This window comes from Homo sapiens, chromosome 14 (assembly GCF_000001405.40).
Source record: "Homo sapiens chromosome 14, GRCh38.p14 Primary Assembly".
Classification (NCBI taxonomy): domain Eukaryota; kingdom Metazoa; phylum Chordata; class Mammalia; order Primates; family Hominidae; genus Homo; species Homo sapiens.
This window is the reverse complement of record NC_000014.9, coordinates 55,611,071-55,628,477: the sequence shown is the minus strand read 5'-3', so window position 1 is coordinate 55,628,477 and position 17,407 is coordinate 55,611,071. Positions and strand designations below refer to the sequence as shown.

The following is a 17,407-nucleotide window of genomic DNA, read 5'->3' as shown; positions in this document are numbered from 1 at the left end:
CTCAAAGTAAAATTTCTGAGATGTGAAGAACTTGACAAAAAATTATACTTATCACAAGAAGCTCCATAAATAAATTACCTATGTTAAGAGTTTCACACTTATTCCATTAATCAGACTTAAACAAGATCACACCAAATTCTGTGTTTCTATTGAGAACAGATCTAGGTCAGATCCAATTAAAACAAATTCCCATGCTTCTGTACAGAGTGCTTTTGTTATTCTGAAGCTAGGATATCTGTAAGTACTCTTATTTTAAATAATTCAACTATAGGCTATAATATCACAAAAGAGAGAGACAGCTCTATCTACCCTCCCAAAACTCTAAAGGAAAGTTACTTTTGTTGGACATAAATTACAAATAATTAAACTACTGATTATGGACAATTTCTAAAATCTTTTGTTGCTTCTGATTTGGGAAGTATATCCCTCGTACATAAGAATGTCTTCACCTGGGTTAACTGCTTACACCGATCCTTTGTAGCAGCAGCATCTTCCTTCACAGCAGCGAGTAACTTGTCCTTTTCTTGAAGCTGATGTATAAGCGTAGTCAATTCTCCCTTACTTGACTGCAATTGAGAAAGCAATGCAGAATTAGTAATAGTTACCATGGGCTAATAAAAATTATGAAAATGAAATGTGGCACATATACACCATGGAATACTATGCAGCCATAAAAAAGAATGAGTTCATGTCCTTTGCAGGGACGTGGATGAAGCTGGAAACCATCATTCTCAGCAAACGAACACCAGAACAGAAAACCAAACACTGCATGTTCTCACTCATAAGTGGGAGTTGAACAATGAGAACACATGGACACAGGAAGGGGAACATGGACACAGGAAGGGCAACATGCCTGTCGGGGCGTGGGGGAATAGGGGAGGGATAGCATTAGGAGAAATACCTAATGTAGATGACAGGTTGATGGGTGCAGCAAACCACCACGGCATGTGTATACCTATGTAACAAACCTGCACGTTCTGCACATGTATCCCAGAACTTAAAGTATAAGAAAAATAAATAAATAAAATAAAAAATAAAAGGTGCTAAGATTAAAAAAAAATTATGAAAATGAAGTATCTAACATCAAGTGTTCTTGGGTCAATGCAGAGTTCTGTACTACATAAAAAGTAAAATAACTGCCAAATACTGATCAGTGAAATATTCAGAAAAATCTCTTTAATGTTGTGTATCCTGAAATTTCCAACTAGATACATATCAACCAAGGAACAGATTTTTACGAAGAACTACAGGAATTCCAGTTTTAAACTCAGAGTCAAGACAGTAATTTCCTCCTTCTCCTGCTAGATCAAAAGAGAGAATATGAAACCAAAATGTAAGCTGCTATGAATGACAGTAACCTGTAATCTCAAAGCATATAAGGAAAGACCACCAAATATAGTAAAGATCAAATTCAGATGCTCCACGACCCTGTCAGAATATACCCATGGCTACAGAGGTGCCATAGATGTGTAGTTCTCTGAAATTAACAGGCACATCCTGAAAGGTAAAACCAGCCATCCCCAACTTGACATGGGAAACAACAAACAAGTGCAAAGATTGCAAGCAGGAACTTTCTTGGAAGAAGGTCTCAAGAAGGAAAAGAAAAAAAAAGTTGCAGATAAAATCCCACATCTCAAGAGGAAAAACATCACTCAAAGGGAGCAACTAGCCAGTGAGGCAGTCAAAAGATTCTCTACAGGGAGACCCTAAGCCTCTTATCTGAAAAGCAGCAAAGGCTAAAAAAATCATTTTACATACACAGTCCCCAAGGAGAACACCAGCCATCCCTGACCCTTCAACAACACCAAGCTCTAGCACAAAGATGATCCAAGAAAAACACCCCTCATTGGAAGAACAGTAGTAGTAAATAAAATGAAACAAAACAAAACAAAACAAAACAGGATCTATACACGATACCAAAAAATGAAAATAAGAAAAACACAAATAACAAGTGAAGAAAAATCACCAGAAAAAGGTTATCACACAGCAGGAAAAAACTGTGGTTAAAAATCTAATATAGTAATCATCTCTGGAAAATAAAAGAGCTCAGAGAAAAGATAACACAAAACGAGATGAAACGTGAGCTGGCAAAACTAAAGTGGAAGCAAAAGCAACACCATCCCAGAAATAATACTACAGTTGGAAGCAGCAAACAGAAAAGCACATGCCGCTGTAAACACAGTAAGAGCCATAGAGACAATGGTGAAGAGAAATAAATAAAAAGTAGAAATAAAGTTTTCTTTGGTTATGTGTTAGGGTTTTTTTTTTTGTTAAAGATATGAAAAGACAACGAAGGTAGGCAGTGGAGAGCCCATATGTATTTAACTGATCTCCATTATTTTACTTATTTCAAGAACATTATATATAACTTCCCAGTAATAAAAGCTAACTTGAATCTAATGACTGAAAAGGCATACTGTGTCCAAGGGAAGTTTAACAGAGCAGTCAATGTCAAGCCATATTATAGTACAATTACTGAATGCCAAAGAAATTGAATCCCTTGATGTGTGTAGAGTAGGTCAGACACTGAAAAAAATCCAGTAAATAATAAACACGTGATTGATTATTCAAAGAATGTTTTATTGTGAGAGTGCAGTTTAACAAAAATACATGAAAAGGGTGCAAAATGCAGGCTGGCGTCAGACCTCTACCAGCAATATGAATAAAGAGAACAGTGAAACAACAAATGCATAAAATGTTTCAAGGAAAAAAAAATGAAATTCTGGAATGTTATACCCCACCAAACTATTATTTGAGTACAAATACAAGAAAAGCATGTTAACTTGCCAAAATTTCGAAAATTTTTTGACAAAATCCCAGGAAAAACAACTTCAGCTAACCAAGAGATGAATAAAGAAGCTATGACAAAAGTACTAACATTGAGATCTGGACCCACCATTAAACTATAAAATTAAAACTAAAACATGAAAATTATAATCACAGAAAAGATGTTAAATATTACAAGTATCTGACAAACAGAAAAACTATTATTAATGAAAGTTGAGACTGGTGGAAGAAAGAAGCTAGGAAAAAAATTTAAGTGGTATAACAGTAGTTCCTCCTGCTACACAGCATGGGGCCCAAATTGTTAATAATTTAAAGTTTAAAATATAACTGAAGCAAGTATATTTAAAGGTCAATGATAAAAAATTAATAATTAAACATTTTCTTACTAATAATTACAATAATAGTTTACACTTTTCAGCAGTTATTATATGCTATTTATAGCACCTAACATGCACTAGCATTTAATTCTCAAAACTTGATCATTCCCATTTTAGCCATGGGAAAACTGAGTCACTGAAGCTAAGTAACTTATCTAAGGCCACAAAGCTGCAAGTGGCAGAGTCCAGACTGGAATTTGGGAAGTCTGACTCCAGAGCTCAGGATCTTAACCACACTCTCAAGTGCCTCATAACTCGAATACAAGGGCATGTGTGCACTCACACAACATAACATCCCTGCTCCAACCCTTCTAGCTTTTGCTGTTTTCCCCTTCCCACCTAAGCTTACTCGTAGCGGACACTCGCTGTCACTTTTCCCATTCATTTGGTACTTATTTATAGTCTTGTACTGCAATGAAACTGCTTTTACTAAGGATATCAAACCCAGTTTTACAATCTTAATCCTCCTTGACATCTCTAAAGCATGTTACTGTTGATCATTCCCCCAAGCTCCCTACTTCCCAAACTCAAAGTTTCTGTGATTCCACTACCTCCTGGTGTTCCTCCCACCACTTCGCTCCTCTTCAGTATCTTTCATGGTGATTTTCCTTGCCCTTTCATTGTTGGTGTTTCCTGGGGTTCATTCTTGAGCCTTCTATCACCTCTCACATCCTCCCTGATCTAATATACATCTACCATATGTACTGTTGATAGTGGATTATCTTCCTCAATCACTCCCATTGTAGCCTTTCTTCTACTCCAGAGAAATATGTTAATTGTAAAATGACTATATCCACTTAAATGGCACAAGGGATGCCTAAAACAGCTTTCTGAAATTTCTCAATCCTCTACTCTCTACAAAGTGTTCACAAAAACCACTGTCACCACAATCTATCCAGTTACTCAAGAAAGAAAACAAGCAGTCACCATGGACTCTTCTTTAGCCACTACATACAACTGCTCAAAAAATCCTATCCTATGCCAGTGCCCTGTATTTATCTTCCCCCTTGCTCTAAAGTCGTCTTTATTCAGCACAAGGATTCAATTACCTCTGCGACTTCGAACAGTCTGTGAAAAGCTCTGACCAACTCAGTTCTGGCAGGAAAAAGGAGAAATTCAACTTACCTAGTCTTACTCAGATTCAGGAGACCTACAAAGGCAGAGTTCCTTCAGTAGAGAACAGAACCGCCCCATGAGAAACCAAGAACAATAAGATTTTAATCTAAAACCAAATGGCTCCAAGGAAAAGGGGAAAAATGTGAACAGTTTCAAAACACTTGCTCCATGCTATCTTTAATAGTTTCCAACTTCTTCCAAGGCCTGCCTAAAATAGATAAAGGGTAGTCTGATTTACCACCCAGACTCTAGAGTTGAAAGCTGTCTCAGACAATAAAATGATTACTCTTGCCCCCATAAGCTACCAGCAACATCTTTCATTAGAAGAGAGACACTTAAAGCAATTACTTTTAATCTTAAAAAGCATTAACTCTAAACAGCAATATAGTAACATAGTAACTTCAGCAAGGTTCTTCCCTGCTAGGAGCTTTTCCCAATCCCCACATATAACTAACAACTTTTTTAAGTATTTACTCACCCAATTACAATAAAATAAACCGAAGGACAAATTCTTTAATCAATATCAAGGCTAGGAGCCGTGGCTCACACCTGTAATCCTAGCACTTTGGGAGGCCAAGGCAGGACGACTGATTGAGCTCAGGACCTTGAAACCAGCATAGGCAACACAGTGAAACCCCATCTCTACAAAAAATACAAAAACTAGCCAGGCATTGCCTGTGGTCCCAGTTCCTCAGGAGGGTGAGATGGAGGGATCGCTTGAGCCCGAGAGTTGAAGGCTACGGTGAGCAGAGATTGCGCCACAGCACTCCAGCCTGGGTGACAGGGCCAGACCCCATCTCAAAAAAATAAAAACAAAAATAAAAATAATCAAGAAAGTTCCTTGCAATAAAGCATCTGTCTTTGTATTTAAAGTCACATTTATCATATTTACTGATTACCTTTTTACTCTGGGCCATTGCTGGCATCACACGGAAACTAACAAGCATACTACATTGTAAAATTGCCACAGATTTATAAAATGCACTGTCAACAGAAGTATGACAGACTTATAGTGCTATGATAAATGCTGTGGCAAAAACATCCAGACGGTTGTAAGAAAGAATAGCAGGGCAAACAATTTAGACTGTGAATTCAGGTTAGCCTTATATGAGAAAATGACATTTAAGTGGAGACTTGAAGGAGGAAGTGGGCATAGAAAGAAATTGGAAGGGAGGGTTTGGGAGGAAAGGGGAGATAGGACAGACAGAAGAAACAAGTCTGGTATGACAGAAGAACCAGAGAAGACTCCATATGGGTGAAATTTGGTGAGGGAATAAGAAAAAATGTCATTAGATGAGGCTGCAGAGAGAGGCAGGACATAGACCTGTTAAGGAATCTGGATTTATGTTTTAACTACAAAAGAGAAAAACACCAAAGGGTTTTTAAAGCAGTAATATAACAATTTATCTCTTAAAGGTCACTTTACAGTTATGTGGGAAAAAAACAAAATTAGAGGACTAAGAGGAAAAGCAGAAACATCAATCTGGAGACTACTGTAGGTAATCAGGTGAAAGGTCATGGTCTAGACTAGTATAAGAAAAAATTAAACCACTGAAGGTTTGAAAGTAGGCAAGAGGTTATGGGGAAAGGTGTGCATGTGTGTGTTTTTAGAATAAAGACAGTTAAATGCACCATCTAATATTGAATAGCAGACAACATATCACTTTATTTTACATAGGTAACCCTTGAAAATTTGTCACCTTTCCCAGTATGACATAGTACATATGATATTATAGTGAATATGACCCATAAGAATATAGATGTTGGCTGCATGGGGTTTTTATTTTACAATTTTTTTAAAACATCAGCCATAGCAGTGATTATGCCATTCAAATCATTTCTTTTAGAAGAGTACTATTACAAACACAACACACACATCCCCCCCACAACAATAGTCCTGAGGTTCTTTGAACGGTGTGATCTTCAGTCACAAAAACCGTTCATACATGCTATCCAGAAATCACCTGACTTTGACTTTAGCACTTCTAGTCAGAGCAAAGCACGGTACAGTTTAGCCAAGGGCCAAATGACTTTAAAAGTAATATAAATCTGGCCGGGCACGGTGGCTCACACCTGTAATCCCAGCACTTTGGGAGGCCGAGGCAGGCGGATCATGAGGTCAGGAGATCGAGACCATCCTGGCTAACACGGTGAAACCCCATCTCTACTAAAAATACAAAAATTAGCCAGGCATGGTGGTGCATGCCTGTAATCCCAGCTACTCTGGAAGCTGAGGCAGCAGAATCACTTCAACCCAGGAGGCAGAGGTTGCAGTGAGCCGAGATCACGCCACTGCACTCCAGCCTGGGCAACAGAGCAAGACTCTGTCTCAAAAAAAAAAAAAAAAAAAAGTAATATAAATCATCTTACTTATTTTAAGCAATTGGCTCTGTCAAAGGATCAGATGACAACAGATGACATTTTAAATAAGTGAATTGATTAGTGTGAATATATGATATGGTTTGGCTGTGTACCCACCCAAATCTCATCTTGAATTGTAGCTCCTATAATTCCCACGTGCCGTGGGAGAGGCTCGGTGGGAGATAATTGAATCATGAAGGCAGTTTCCCCCATACTGTTTTCCTGGTCGTGAATAAGTCTCACAAGATCTGAGGGTTTTAAAAGGGAAAATCCCTTTCATTTGGTTCTCATTCCCTCTTCCCTGCTGCCATGTAAGACATGCCTTTCACCTTCTACCATGATTGTGAGGCCAGCCACATGAAACTGTGAGTCCATTAAACCCCTTTTTCTTTATAAATTACCAGTCTCAGGTATGTCTTTATCAGCAACGTGAAAATAGACTAATACACTAAATTGGTACCAGGAGTGAGGAACTGCTGTAAAGATACCCGAAAATGTGGATGTGACTTTACAACTGGGTAACAGGCAGAGCTGGAACAGTTTGGAGGGCTCAGAAGAAGACAGGAAGATGTGGGAAAGTTTAGAACTTCCTAGAGACTTGCTGAATAGCTTTGACCAAAATGCTGATGATGATACCAGCAATGAAATCCAGGATGAGGTCATCTCAGATGGAGATGAGGAACATGTTGGGAAATGGAGTAAAGGCGACTCTTGCTATGTTTTAGCAAAGAGACTGGTGGCATTATGCACCTGTCCTAGAGATCTGAGGGAGACTTGAGGGAGATGATTTAGGGTCTCTGGCGGAAGAAATTTCTAAGCAGCAAAGCATTCAAGAGGTGACCTGGGTGCTATTAACAGCATTCAGTTTTAAGAGGGAAACAGAGAATAAAGTTTGGAAAATTTGCAGCCTGATGATGCCATAGAAAAGAAAATCCCACTTTCTGAGGAGAAATTCAAGCCAGCTGCAGAAATTTGCATAAGTAATGAGGAACCAAATGTAAATCACCAAAACAATGGAGAAAATGTCTCCAGAGCATGTCAAAGACCTTTGCAGAAGGGCCCTCCTATCATGGGCTGGAGACCTAGGAAGAAAAAATGGTTTCCTGAGCAGGGCCCAGGGCCCCCCTGCTGTATGTAGCCTAGGGACTTGGTGTCCTGCAACCCAGCCACTCTAGGCATGGATAAAAGAAACCAAGGTACAGCATGGGCCATGGCTTCAGAGGGTACAAGCCCCAAGCCTTAGCAGCTTCAACGTAGTGTTGAACCTGTGGGTGCACAGAAGTCAAGATTTGAGTTTTGGGAAACCTCTGCCTAGATTTCAGAGGATGTATGGAAACACCTGGATGTCCAGGCAGAAGTTTGCCACAGGGGTGGGGCCCTCATGGAGAACCTCTGCTAGGGTAGTGAGGAAGGGAAATGTGAGGTTGAAACCTACACACTAAGTCCCCACTGAAGCACTGCCCAGTGGAGCTGTGAGAAGAGGGCCACCATCCTCCAGATCCCAGAATGGTAGAGCCACTGACAGCTTGTACTGTGAGCCTGGAAAAGCCACAGACCCTCAACGCCAGCCCATGAAAGCAGCCAGAAAGGAGGCTGTACCCTGTAAAGCCACAGGGGCGGAGCTGCCCAAGACCATGGGAATCCACCTCTTGAAACAGCATGACGTGGATGTGAGACATGGAGTCAAAGGAGATCATATTGGAGCTTTAAGATTTGACTGCCCCACTGGATTTCAGATTTGTATGGGGCCTGTAGCCCTTTTATTTTGGCCAATTTCTCCCATTTGGAGTGGCTGTATTTACCCAATGCCTACCACTGTATCTAGGAGGTAACTAAGTTGCTTCTGATTTTACAGGCTCATAGGCGGAAGGGACTTGCCTTGTCTCGGATGAGACTTTGGACTGTGGACTTTTGAATTAATGATGAAATTAGTTAAGACTTTGGGGGACCAGTAGGAGGGCATGATTGGTTTTGAAATGTGAGGACATGAGATTTGGGAGGGTCTGGAGTGGAATGTTATGGTTTGGCTGTGTCCCCACCCAAATCTCATCCTGAATTGTAGCTCCCATAATTCCCATGTGTTGTGGGAGGGACCTGGTGGGACATAATTGAATCATGGGGGCAATTTCCCCCATATTATTCTTGTGGTAGTAAATAAGCCTTACAAGGTCTGATGGTTTTATAAGAGGAAACCCCTTTCGCTTGATTCTCATTCCCTCTTCCCTGCCACCATATAAGACGTGCCTTTCACCTTCCACTATGATTGTGAGGCCTCCCCAGCCACGTAGAACTGTGAGCCATTTAAACTCTTTTTCTTTATAAATTACCCAGTCTCGGGTATCTCTTTATCAGCGGCATGAAAACAGACTAATACGATATATAAAGTAATTTCTGAAGGCATTCCAGATGTATGTTCTGAGATGTTAAGGATGGGAGTAGATATTAATTGCTCTGGCTAAAGTCTTGTTTGGTGAACTTCTAATGACTGGTCATGAATATGCCCATAATCAAAAAACACGCTTACCTTCTTTAAAGCATCTTGTATTACACCAGACTTCTCCTTTAGCAAGTCTACAACACAAAGAGCCTCATCTTCAGAAAACATCATAGTCTTCAAGGACAGAAGAAAATCTTTAAACTTCACTTCAGCATTTTCTTAATTTGAAAAAAACAAACAAACAAAGAGTTGGCATTTAAAAAACACAAATAATAACTTCAGCAAAGGTAAGCATGAAGAATTCACGGCCCAGAAAGTCAATAACCGAAAGAAAACAGATATATACTTCAGGTTAAATAAAACAAATACTCCAGTCAAGAGGAAAAAAAGGGTTTATCATCTATAATACGGAATAATTACATTAGCTAAAAGTTTGCTCAAACTGCAAAATACTAAAATGCCAATATACCCTCACTTTAAAAAAAAATCACTTAGGTGTCTAGTATGTGCTAATATCTGCACTATTATATTCACAATAATCTCAATGAACTTTAATAATCCTTGCACACTGACAACCAACTGTGAAAAACAAAATAATCCTGAGAGATATTAAGCCAAATTCCACACATGAGAAAATAAGTTCTAAGATAATTGTAAAAAGGAAATCTGATTCTATGAAGATCAAATATATGCAAACCATCCTGACATTTTAAAAATCCATGCATCAAGCACCTCCTGACCCACCCACCCTTATTTTCCCAAGGTTCTCGTATTAGGCATTAACAACCTCTTCTTAAAAAGAGCTGCCACCCATCAGACTCAAAGGAGCCTCGGGCTTTTAATACTTCAGCTAAATTATAAGTTTTAAAAGGTAGTTGTGTACTTATGTGGAAACAGGGGATATGTGGGAACTCTGAACTTTCCAATGAATTTTGCTGTGAACCTAAAACTACTCTAAAAAAAACAGTCTATTAAAAAAAAACAACAGTTATGAATTAGCCAAGAAACCTCACAGGAGACAGTAGTAGCTGGGAAATAATCATCAGATAGCAAAATAGCTGTAGGACCTTTAAAAAGTCAAATTCAAGTTCCAGATCTACAAAACTGAGGAGGCTGGACTAAAAGACTACCAATAAGTCTTCTACCACAAGGATTTGATTCTTTTGAAATGCATTGTTTCTATGAGAAAATGAAATCTATGACTCCATCAGAACTCAGAAATGTGTTTTTATAGTACAACAAAGACTATAAATCCCATATATTACCTTTGTCAGTTTCGGTCTTCAGTTTTTTAGTCCCAGATTTCTGGATCCCTTCTACTTGGTCAGGTTTAAGCAAATCAATAACCTCTCTCTTATCTACCACAGGACTTGAGTCAGCATTATCCATCAAAGGAATATAAGTAGTTGCATGAATAAGGGGTTCATCTACGAAGACTGCAATTTAAGTTCAACAAAATCATAATTAGAATTTTTACAAAACAGAGTAAATGACATGCAAGCATAATTTAATGATAAATGCAGTTCTTTTGAAACATTTACTGGTAGCTCAAATTGGTTTTAAATTCCTATTTCGTCATTTAACAAGTCAAAACACTCATTCTAATGAAGCCGTACCAGCTCAACAGTCTTATTTTATAGTAAATCATTTAAATCATCTAAAAGTGTATAGCATATCTCCTCTAATGGTATCTAAAAACTTTTTATGCATCCTTAAGTCTCCTTTAATTTTTGTTTTAATATAAGAATTATTTCCACTTAATTAGTGCTCAAGGAAAACTATTAGTTTTTATTTATGTTGGTACTTTACCAACTTACTGTAGTTGATAATTTTTAAACAAGTTCTTTGTACTTGCTAAGTGCAAAAACCACAGTGCTCCTTGCAGATAGCTTCTCATTTCTGAAGAGTTATGCCTCTAATTTCCATGGCACATCTACACTTGCTAAAACTTCCAAAATACATTAAAAGTGGAAGAAGGAAGCCTCTTTATTTTGTTCCTAATTTTAATGGGAAGAATTTGAAGAGTTTGAACATCAAGCCTAATGTCTGCTGGTTAGAGATACAAACTTCCACACCCAGATGAAAATCTCTTTTCTTTTCATTCCTACCTTTCAAAAAGAGCTTCTTTACTTATATATGTCTCTTCTTTTATTTAAAATTGTTTAACATTTAATTTTAACAAATATATTCAGGTAATATTTCTCTCATACCTAATTGATATGTCATAATTTTAAGTTGTTTAGTCTTCACAAATTTCACAGCCAAGCTTTCCCTGGAAAACTGTGAACAAATAAGATTGCTCCATCTCTTATAATCTGATGCTTGCCATATACACATGTGAGTTCTGTTTAGGAATTAATTGGAAATGTAAGCTAATGCCAGATCTAGCTAATGTCCTTAAGCATTACCTTTAAGTGATATTAAAAAGCACAAAATTTCAAGAATGTTTTTCTTCTATGGTCTGTATGCTATTTATTTTTTCAAAACTGAGTTAAGAATATTTATAAATGCTTTGCCCTTTGTAAATGGTATATAAACTTTTTCATCTCAAATGTACACCCTGCCCATCTGTCAAAGCGCTATAAAGTCATAAGGCTAAAGATAATTTTAGACCTGCATTAGTATTACAGTTGTCATTAGCACACATTAAACTGGGAGCTAAAGAGCGTGTGAGATTCCAGGGTCCTTGTGCTGGTGTACTTCTCTAGAATTAGCATTATAAAAATACATATCTAAACATCTCACCATTTTCTGTCTTTTGTTTCTTTGATGAAGCTTTCTTCTTCCCTGATCCACTTTCTTGTTTAGTCTCTTGGTGGAGGGGCAATGCTTCTTGCCTTTTTGATGGTACCATGAGAGTTTCCACCTTTTTATCCTGGTCATCTTTATTAAACACAAACAAAAAAAATAATTGTGGCAAACAATGAACATAACGGAAAAGATGCAATCACTGAGTAATTCCCAGAATGTTTTACCACTAAAAATTTAAAGTCTGACATATAACGCTCTCACCAATAACTTTTTCTAGCTTTCTTACTCCACTACACCAGCTCTTCAATGTACTTACTCCTCCTTTCCCATTCCTCAGCTATTTTCAACCCTACTGAGCCTATAGGCATGATCAAGTCTCTATCATCTTAAAAAATAAACAGCAAGGTGCAGCTGCTCACACCTGTAATCCCAGCACTTTGGGAGGCTGAGGCAGGTGGATCACTTGAACCCAGGAGTATCACTTGAACCCAGGAGTTCCAGACCAACCTGGGCAAAGTGGTGAAACCTCATCTCTACAAAACTCCATCTCTACGAAAAAAATAAAAAAAATTAGCCAGGTGTGGTGGCGCACACCTGTAGTTCCAGCTACTCTGGGGCTGAGGTGGGAGGATAGCTTGAGCCCCGGAGGTCGAAGGTGCAGTGAGCCAAGATCACACCATTCACTCGAGCCTCAGCAACAGAGCAAGACCCTGTCGAAAGAAAAAGGAAAGAAAGAAGAAAGAAAAGAGAGAGAGAAAGAGAGAAAGAAAGAAGAAAAGGAAGAAAGAAAGGGAAGGAAAGGAAGGAAAAGAAGGAAGGGAAGGGAAGGAAAGGAAGGAAAAGAAGGAAGGGAAGGGAAGGAAGAGAAAACCCTTCCCCATCACCATAATTCCCAGCATCCCACATCCATTTCCTTACATATTGACAAAATACTCTTAGTTCCTTTTCTACCAATCATTCCTCAGCTAATTGCAACCTGATTTTTATCTCTTTCATTCCACGAAAGGATTAACTCAGATCCCCCAGTGTCCCAAATGCCATATTCTACAAATACTCATTACTCCTTATTTGACTACTCTTTGGCATTTTATACTTTTGGTCTCTACCCCTTTCTTAAAATTATCTCCTCTCCATTATGCTAAGTAAAATATGGCAGTGACAAAAAGATAAATATCGTATAATTTCACTTATATGACATTCCCAGAGTAGTCAAATTCATAAAGACAGAAAGTAGAAGGGTAATTGTCAAGATATGGGGGAAGGGGGAGGGACGGGGGAAAAGGGGGAGGCAGGCAGAATGGGGAATTAGTGTATAATGCGTACAGAGTTTCATTTGGAAAAGATGAAAGAGTTCTGGACTTGGCTAGTGGTGATGATTATATAAGAATGTGAATGTACTTACCACCACAAAACTACACACTTAAAAGTTGTTAAAATAGTAAATTTCATGCTGTAATTTGCCACAATAAAAATAAATAAAATAAATTATCTCCTATCAGTTCCCATGATAATTCTCTTCTTACACTTGAAATATTCCTTTGCGGTATCCTTTGGGAACTGCTTCTACTGAATACTGCTTGTTCTCAGGGTTGGGGCTTCAATTAAAATACTTCCCTTGGATGAGCTATCTACTCCCATGCCTTCTACTACCTTCACGCTTAAGGCTTCTGAATCTACTTTTCTACATTTACATACCCTACTGCATCCTGAGTTGCTCTACGTAGATGGCCCCACAGGCATTGGAAACACAAACTGGAAGTGTTCTCTTCTCAATTCACATCTAGTCTCTCTCCAGTATTACCTATTTTAGTGCTACCAACCATCTGCCAAGCACAAGTTGGCAAACTTTTTCTGCAAAGGGCCACGTAGTAAAAACTTTAGACCTTATAGGACATATGGTCTCTGGTACAACTATTCAAGTCTGCCACTGCAGCATGAAAGCCAGTCATAAACATATTATGAATGAGTGAATGAATGTAGCTGCATATAAAAACACTTTATGAGTACTGAGATTTTGACTTTTTTTTACATTTTTACATTTCTCAAAATATTATTCTATTTCCCAACCATTTAAAATGCAAAAAGTGTTCTTGGTTCATGGGCATAAAAAAAGGAAGTGGGCTACATGCGGCTCACAGGTTGCAGTTTGCCAACCCCAACCTAACTCAGAACTTGGGAGATCAGCTTTAATCCTATCTTCTCCTTTATCTGCCACACCTCTATATAGTGAGGTTATTCGTGTCATTCTTACTTTGCATACTTCTCAACTTTGTTTCTTCTGTCACTACCATAGTTCAGGCCTACATCTTAATTTTAGAAAACTAAAATAACCTCTTAACTAGTCTGCCGGCATCAAATACTGCCCCATGAAATCTGTTCTTGCTAGCTCTGCCAAAAAAATCTTTCTAAAACAGAAATATGACCATGTAACTAAACTGCTTGAAAATCTTCAACAATGGCTAACCTAAGAAGTCCTAGCTCCCTGGCACAGTATCCAAAAACCACCATGATCTAGCCACTGCTATCTTTTCAGCTCTGTTCCCTACCACTCTCTATACCTCACGTTGTATGGCTCAATAATACACTGTACTCTTGCAGCTCTGTGCCTTTACATGATATTCTGCCAATGAGTAATGAGACCCCACTATCTGCTTGATGAAGCGATTCAATGCTCAGGAACTGCCTCCCCTGTAAAGCCTTTCAGCCCAGCATAAGCAGTAGTTGCTTTAGCTTCTATATTTCCTCTATACTTTCTCTATCTCCTACATAAACCACATTTTTTTTACTGGCTTACGTGTCCTTTTCCCCAACTAAAACATGTAGTTCTTACTATGCCTTGATCCTAGCTGACATGCAAATATTTAAAATCCAATACAACCGGGTCAAGCGTGGTGGCTCACGCCTGTAATTTCAGCACTTTGTGAGGCCAAGGCAGGCGGATCATTTGAGGTCAGGAGTTCGAGACCACTCTGGCCAATATTGTGAAACCCCATCTCTACTAAAAATACACGCCTATAATTCCAGCTACTCGGGAGGCTGAGGCAGGAGAATCACTTGAACTTGGGCAGCAGAGGACACACTGAGCCAAGATCGCACCACTGCACTCCAGCCTGGGTGAGAGTGTGAGACTCCCATCTCAAAAAAAAAAAAAAAAAAATCAAATATAACCTCCTACAAGTTAAGACACACAAATGACTTAATGGTACATACAAGTCCTTTCAAATAAAACAAACTGTTTACAGTTTCACACATCGCCACGCCAATTTTCAAGGCTTTTCCATTGTACCTATCAACCCCCTTTCCCTGGAATCTCCCTCCCCTCCCCATCCACCCAAAAAACCTAACTAGTACTTAACCAAACTTTAAAAATTTCTGGCATTACTTGCTTTAAGTGGTCTACCTTAGAATTCCTACACTGGTTTAGACATATCTAGACCATTACACTAAATCTTTCATAATGACCTATCTGTGTCTACAGCTAGCACACGACTACCTCGAAAACGCACTATTCATCTCTGTAGCCCTAATACCTAGCATAATGCCTAGCATAAAACAGATATATGATAAATGTTAGCAAAATGAAGCAATCAAGGGTGAGAAATGATATCTGATTTTAGCTTTTCACCTTTAATTCTTACCATATCATTTAGAAAGTTCGTAACTGCTGATATTTACAGGTCCTAAGTGGTTTTAAGTAAAATAGCCAAAGTTGGATATTTATAAGATGTATGGGGTTTTTTTTTTTTCTTTTAATTTCTTGTAGAGATGAGGTCTCACTTTGTTGCCCAGGCTGGTCTCAAACACCTGGGCTCAAGGGGTCCTCCCACTTCAGCCTCCCAATGTGCTAGGATTACAGGCATGAGCCACTGCATCAGGCCCTGAAGTTTAAAGTGCTATTTTATGATCAATACTAATTTCTACCAGCAATTAATGTTAATGAAGCAAACACATAATGAAATGAATAATCATGGTTTCAAATTCAATATTAAACATTCTGTGTATGTACCTAACAGAATATCTCAATTCCAAGCTCCAAATCATACAATAAAATTAAATAGATTAAATAGATTACAATACCGCTTCCATTTTTAGACTTCTTCTGCCCTGGTTTCTTCTTCGAGGCAGCTGCTTCAGAGGGAGGGGTGGGCTGTTTAGTAACTGGGACAGGTTCTACTTTTTTGCCAGGAATCTTTGATGCGTCACTTTCTTTGATGACCTGCTCTTCAAGCACAGGCTTTTGTTTCTTTTCCTTCTTTTTTCTTTCCCTAACACTACTTGAAGTTTCAACGACATTCAATGGAACAGGTGCAACTTGATCATCTTCTACTGCCAAAGCATCTGATAATTTAAAGTCTCGAGGTACACTCTCAGAGTCGGATTCATGGAGGTTTCCATTCTGGATTTCTTTCTTTTTATTCTTTTTCTTTTCTGCTTTCTTTTTATCTGTTTTGGTAGGAATAAGCTTTTGTTCTCTTTTCTGTTTTGCAAGAACTTCATCATATAATGTTTCTTTCATGAAAAGCCAGAAGAAGAGGAAAATTACTGTAATAACTATTGAAGGAATAAGAACAATAAAATATGCTGACTCATAAAACTCCATGGTACTTTTGTCAATGTGATCCTATAAAACCTAAATAGGGAAGAAGGTGGGGACAAAAAAAAAAAAAGAACCTGTCAGTCTCATAAAAATTAAAGTCAAAACTGCTGCTCTTTCAAGTGGCATTTCAAATCTAACCTGACCTACAAATCTAAACAGGTTAGTTCTTTAAATCACATTCTTGATTTATTTGCCAACTACAATTCATATATACTATGAAAAATAAGACAAGTGGTAACTAGAAGGAGTAGAAAACATCCTTCCATTTCTAAATCATGTGAAAATATCCTAATTGAAGAGAAAAAATTTAAATATTCATTACTTTCTTTTCCCGAAATATCCACTTTTGGTACTTTATTAGTAGTTAACTTTTTTGTTTATTGTACAGTGTTGATAACTACTACACGTGAAAATAAGGAGGTACTATTACCAACTCAATGGACATTCATTAAAAGTGTCATATTCTGAAATGCACACACACGCAAAAAGAGGTGGTTTATTTACAGATTAAGACCAGTCACCAACTGCTTGCATCTTTACACCAGTGACTATCAGCCTCATGATGCAGTGGGATCTATCAAGGATATAAAAATCTAATAAAATTAAAATTGAAATGTTAGGATGTGGCATTTTGCATTAAAATAAATTACAGACCAAGCGCAGTGGCTCATGCCTGAATCCCACCACTTTAGGAGGCTGAGGCAGACGGATCACTTGAGCCTAGGAGTTCCAGTCTACCCTGGGCAACATGGCGAAACCCTGCCTTTACAAAAAAAAAAAAAAAAAAAGACAAGAAAATTAGCTGGGCGTAGTTAAGTGAGCCTGTAGTCCCAGCTACTTGCAGGCTGAGGTGAGAGGATCACCTGAGCCTTTGAAGTCGAGGCTTCAGTGACCTGTGACTCTGCCACTGCACTCCAAGCCTGGGCAACAGAGCAAGTCTCTGTCTCAAAAAAATAAAATAGTGAAATAAATTACAAGTTA

General features: G+C 38.3%; 1 protein-coding gene across 43 annotated transcripts in view; it reads right to left on the bottom strand.

The window, feature by feature from the left end:
- Positions 1-17,407, bottom strand: part of KTN1 (kinectin 1) — a 104,378-nt gene that overhangs the window by 56,107 nt on the left and 30,864 nt on the right. For 34 of the 43 annotated variants that reach the window (NR_073128.1, NR_073129.2, NR_175289.1 and 31 more), the window contains 5 exons: positions 15,907-16,459; positions 11,824-11,961; positions 10,344-10,514; positions 9,166-9,296; positions 450-566 (listed from right to left, as the gene is read on the bottom strand). Coding sequence is in view for 32 of the 43 variants with exons in the window: in NM_001402686.1 (NP_001389615.1) it covers positions 450-566; positions 9,166-9,296; positions 10,344-10,514; positions 11,824-11,961; positions 15,907-16,429 (1,080 nt within the window). In the remaining 11 variants the exon portion in view is untranslated. The remainder of the gene's footprint in view (positions 1-449; positions 567-9,165; positions 9,297-10,343; positions 10,515-11,823; positions 11,962-15,906; positions 16,460-17,407) is intronic. The other 9 variants (NM_001402704.1, NM_001402706.1, NM_001402703.1 and 6 more) reach the window with 2 other exon arrangements.